The sequence below is a fragment of the Homo sapiens genome, chromosome 18 (assembly GCF_000001405.40).
Source record: "Homo sapiens chromosome 18, GRCh38.p14 Primary Assembly".
Classification (NCBI taxonomy): domain Eukaryota; kingdom Metazoa; phylum Chordata; class Mammalia; order Primates; family Hominidae; genus Homo; species Homo sapiens.
Window position 1 is genome coordinate 46,074,308 of NC_000018.10, and position 5,940 is coordinate 46,080,247.

General features: G+C 41.7%; 1 pseudogene; it reads right to left on the minus strand.

The window, feature by feature from the left end:
• On the minus strand, positions 2,697-2,792 carry RNY4P37 (RNY4 pseudogene 37; annotated as a pseudogene).

Sequence of the window (5,940 nt, forward strand, 5' to 3'; positions counted from 1 at the left end):
GGCTCATGCCTGTAATCCCAGCACTTTGGGAGGACAAGGCAGGTGGATCACCTGAGGTCAAGAGTTCAAGACCAGGCAGGCCAACATGATGTAACCCCATCTCTATTAAAAATACAAAATTAGCCGGGTGTGGCGGCACACGCCTGTAGTCCCAGCTACTTGGGAGGGTGAGACAGGAGAATCGCTTGAACCCAGGAGGCATAGGCTGCAGTGAGCCGAGAGTGCTACTGCACTCCAGCCTGGGCGAGACAGAGTGAGACACCATCTCAGAAAAAAAAAAAAAAAGAAGAAGAAGAGGAAGAGAGGCCTGAACTAGCATGATCAACCTCCTTGCCATGTTACACCCCATGCCACAGAGTCCCTACCAGCAAGAAGGCTGGCACAAATGCGGCCCCTCAACCTTGGACTTTTCAGCCTTCATAACTGTGAGAAATAAATTCTTTTCCTTTATAAACTACCCGATGTCAGATACTCTGTTATAAGCAACAGAAAACATACTAAGACACTAACAAAATTAAACAATATTATAGCAATTATGAAATAATGAAATTATTTAATATATTTAAGACATAATACATTTAAGATAATCGCTGTGAATATTTTGGCATACTCTCTTTCAACTATATATTTGCAAGAGTAAGTTCTTACTGTACATAAAATTTTGAGTCTTGCTTTTTTAACTTAGTATTTCATAAGTATTTTCTAAAATCACTCAATGTATTTTTTCTAACAAAAAGTTTGATAGAATACAGGGCTAGCCACTTTATAAGCAGACAATTTTGCACATAAAAATTGAAAATCTCTGTGAAGGGCTGGGCAGGGTGGCTCACATCTGTAATCCCAGCACTTTGGGAGGCTGAGGCAGGCAGATCACTTGAGGTCAGGAGTTCGAGACCAGCCTGGTCAACATGGTGAAACCCCGTCTCTACTAAAAATACAAAAATTAGCCGTGCGGAGGTGGCGCAGCACCTGTAATCCCACCTACTCGGGAGGCTGAGCCAGGAGAATCGCTTGAGCCTGGGAGGTGGAGGTTACAGTGAGCTGAGTTTGCACCACTGCACTCTAGCCTGGGCGACAGAGTGAGACTCCATCTCAAAATAAAATAAAATAAAAATATCTGTGAAGAGAAATTTGGCCATGTGATCAAAATGTAAAATGCCCCTATCTTTTGACCCATTAAGTCCATGTCAAAAAACTTACCTTACAAATATATTCTCACATATGCAAAGTAAAAGATGACACAGTTGTTCATAGCAGTGTGGTTATTTTGGCAAAAGACTTGAAATAATTAATGTCCATCCATGGAGTACTAGCTCAATATATTGTCATATATCGATCCAATGAAATCATATTCAAGCATAAAAAATGAGGAAGCTCTTTGCGTATTGATATGGAACAATCATCAGATATATTAATAAGTGAAAAACAAGGCAAAACAAGCTGTCACTAGAATGAGAAGAAAAAAGAACACACACACACTTTCTTTTTTTTTTTTTTTGAGACAGAGTCTTGCTCTGTTGCCCAGGCTGGAGTGCAGTGGTGCCATCTCGGCTCACTGCAAGCTCCGCCTCCCGGGTTCACGCCATTCTCCTGCCTCAGCCTCCCGAGTAGCTGGGACTACAGGCGCCTGCCACCACGCCCAGCTAATTTTTTGTATTTTTAGTAGAGACGGGGTTTCACTGTGTTAGCCAAGATGGTCTCTATCTCCTGACCTCGTGATCCGCCCACCTGGGCCTCCCAAAGTGCTGGGATTACAGGCATGAGCCACCGGGCCCGGCCCACACACACACTTTCAATGGTCCCCTCTAAAGTGGGGATCTGGGGCCTGAGAGATAGGAGAGAGCAGAAGAGAGCCCTACTTTTCATCCCATGCCCTTCTGGACCTTAGAATTTATACTCTGTGAGTTTATTATAAACCCAAAGAAAACTCATCAATATCATTTTTAATTTTTGCATAACTTCCCATCAAGTGGATATACCAATATGTACTTAGCATTTCCCTAATGCTTTTGGAAATATTACTGTGATAAATATCTTTTAAATAAATCATTGTTAAAATTATTCATAGTGGAGGCCGGGTGCAGTGGCTCATGCTTGTAATCCCAGCACTTTGGGAGGCTGAGGTGGGTGGATCATTTGAGATCAGAAGTTCGAGACCAGCCTGGCCAATGTGGTGAAACCCTGCCTCTACTAAAAATACAAAAATTAGCTGGGTGTGGTGGTGGGCGCCTGTAATCCTAGCTACTTGGGAGGCTGAGGCAGGAGAATCACTTGAACCTGGGAGGCGGAGGTTGCAACGAGCTGAGATCACGCCACTGCACTCAGTCTGGGCAATGGAGTGAGACTTCATCTCAAAAAAAAAAAATTACTCATAGTGGAATTACAGGTTAAAGAATATGAATATTTTTAAGGGTCTTGAAATATATTACCAAATAGTTTTCCACAAAAGTTGTATCAGTCTATACTCTCAGTAGTCTACAGCGGTGTCCCTGCCTTTTCAGAAACATTGGATAACATCATTCATAATCCTTGTTATATGATCATGGAAACGCTCTCATTATGCTTTAAATTTGCATAGTTTTAATTACTACTTGATCAGGTTTTTCATACGCATGTTTTTTCAGGCTATGCCATCTTTTGGGAATTGTCCTTGTCCTTTGCCCATTTATCTCTAGAAGTTTTGTTAGTTTTCTTTTTTAAAGCCAGTCAAATTTAGCAGTAGGGGACTGTACATCAACTTTAGTGACACTAATGTTAGTAAGTTCTGATAATCCACTACCACTGGACCAGCCTAAAGTCTTGTTCCTTTTTTTTTTTTAACCAATTTGCCATTTTTGTTGCAAACATGTCTTGCTCTGTATTTCACAGCCTAGCACGCTACCTAGCACATCATAGGTGCTCAATAAACATTGATTTAACTGAATTAATTTGTATTTAATTAGATTTTTGGGGGCCCCGTTTTCATGTTTATACAACCCTATGTATTGACGTCCTCTGTCATTTTTTCCATTGCTTGTTTTGCTTAAAATCCCTTTCCCATCCAGGATCAGTGCAAAACAGATGTGACTTGGAAGAACCTCGGAGCAGTCAGACCTATCTTGTAGTTACAAGGACTTGCTGACTTCAAAAAGTAAGAAATCATCCCACCCAACCTGTACTCATTACCTATTGCTGCAAAATACATTACTTCAAAAATTGCAGCTTAAAACAAGAAATATTTATTATTGCCCACAGTTTCTCAGGGCTAGGGATTTTAGAATTGTGTGAGTCTGGCTCAGGGCAACTCATGAAGTGGTAGACAGGCTGTCGGTGGGGCTGCAGTGGGCCTGAGCCCCACCAGGAACTGGAGAATCCGCTTTGAGCTAACTCCTGTGGTTGTCTCCAGCTGCTTGCTGGCTGTTTGCCTGAGGTAAACGTCATAGTGGCATGGGCTTTGTCATAAAGCTGCTCACAACATGGCAACCTGCTTTCCCCAGAGCAAGGGATCTGAGAAAGAAACTCAGACAGAGGCCATATTATTTTTATAACCTAATCTCAGAGCCCTATTTAGGGCCATGTCACCAACAAGTGGCAGGAGTTCCTACCTAACCCAGACCCCAACCCTGGGTCTGAATGGAGATTCCCATGCAACTCAGATCTGTGAGGCACTGCTGTGTCTCCTCTCTGCCCATCAGTGGTCACCCACACACAGCATTAACACTGCTAGCTGGAGTCTAGGTTTTGCTTTGGGGAGGAACCCATACTCTTGTCAGAATGCCCCGGTACAGTGAACTAGCCATGCCACTTAGAAATTCCATGGCAGGCCGGGCACAGTGGCCTACGCCTGTAATCCCAGCACTTTGGGAGGCCGAGGCGGGCAGATCACCTGAGGTCGGGAGTTTGAGACCAGCCTGACAAACAGGAGGAAACTCAGTCTCTACCAAAAACACAAAATTAGCCGAGTGTGGTGGCGCATGCCTGTAATCCCAGCTACTCGGGAGGCTGAGGGAGGAGAACTGCTTGAACCTGGGAGCTGGAGGTTGCAGTGAGCCGAGATCGTGCCATTGCACTCCAGCCTGGGCAACAAAAGCGAAACTCCATCTCAAAAAATAAATAAACAAACAACATAAGAAGCACTGACAAATAAGGAATGATGTTTGACCTTGAGTTACATTTTTCTTTTTTTTCTGAGACGGAGTCTCACTCTGTCACCCAGGCTGGAGTGCAGTGGCATGATCTTGGCTCACTGTAATCTCTGCCTCCTGGATTCAAGCAATTCTCCCGCCTCAGCCTCCCAAGTAGCTAGGACTACAGGCGCATGCCACCACGCCCGGCTAATTTTTGTATGTTTAGAAGAGACAGGGTTTCGCCATGTTGGCCAGGTGGTCTCCTTGAGTTACATTTTTATGGATGTGTTGTTATACATATTCCAAAATTATTTTAGATTCCTAAAATTCTGGTATGTCTTGGTATGTTATCATGTAATTATGGTAATTATATTAAATTATTATAGGCACGGAAATAACCAAATTTGTCAACTGTGTCTTTAACCATGACCATCTCAAGTCATTTCCACAGTTAAGTGCTTAGATCCAACACATTTTCTAAAAGCTCTTTGCAAGCAAGCAAAATCCTGAAGTGTGTCTTCAAAGAGATTCATGAATGGGGGGAGGGGGGAGGGATAGCATTGGGAAATATACCTAATGCTAGATGATGAGTTAGTGGGTGCAGCGCACCAGCAGGGCACATGTATACATATGTAACTAACCTGCACATTGTGCACATGTACCCTAAAACTTAAAGCATAATAAAAAAAACAAAATAAACAACAAAAAAAAAAACAACAAGGAGATTCATGAGAAGGATGGAATGGACCCTGACAAGCACTCTTGAATACAGGCTTCCAGTAACTTTAGGATCATATTATTTGGACTGGATAAGAAGTCTCAGAACTCTAATGAAGAGACTGCCTGGTTTATGAAACTGGTAATATAAACAGGATAAAAACTAATTGAATATCAAGAAAATAATTTGCCATATTTTCATGCCGAATTAGCCAGAACTGAAATTGTTTATATATGCAATTTGAATGAACACTTATGGTCCAAGTCATATTACCTGTGAAAGCCAATTTAATAAATAGTGCTATGCACCTGAATTAGAGAAACAAAATTGGTAGTTAGGAGGATACAGGCCAGGTATGATGTCTCATGCCTGTAATTCTAGTGCTTTGGGAGGTCAAGGTGGGAGGATCACTGAAGGCCAGGCAGGGCAACAGAGTGAGACCCTAGCTGTACAAAATATTTTTAAATTTTTAAAAAAAGAATATAAATCCAGTGTTAAGCAGGGACTCATGGAGAGCCTAGATGGCCACCTGGTCTTCCCTGAGTCCTTAAAGCTTCCATTATTAAAAGCTCTGCAATCTATGGATCATCATGGAAGGGCTAAAATAATCCAAATGATGAGTGAGTGTTTGGGTAGCAACTGTCCTAAATTGCTAAAATGGTTTATGACCAATATTTGGTTTGTCACATCCATCCCATGAAGTAAGTCAAAAGTCCGGCAGCCTTATAACTCTTGCCAAAGGCCAACTCCCCCATAAATTCTTTCCTAGTTCTACCATTAAACATAGATCTTTTAATCCAAATGACACTTTGTAGTGGTTAGTTACTCCATCTTATTTGTATTTCTATGTAGTAATTATACAGTATTTACAAGACATGATGAATTGGTCTTTTGTTCTCCCTCCTCCTCCTTACTCCTAGGTTAGGTAAGTTATTGATGGAGTCCTTTTGTGTCTTACTCATCTTTGAATCCTTTTTAGTGTTCATCTCATAGGTAATGCTCAATTAATAGCTGAACTAAGTACTACTTCAGATATGCTTATCTTAATATTCTTGCAATCATAGATTATAGAGCTGAGACGCTAAGAACTTTCAGGAGAGCAAAAAAGACAAGACC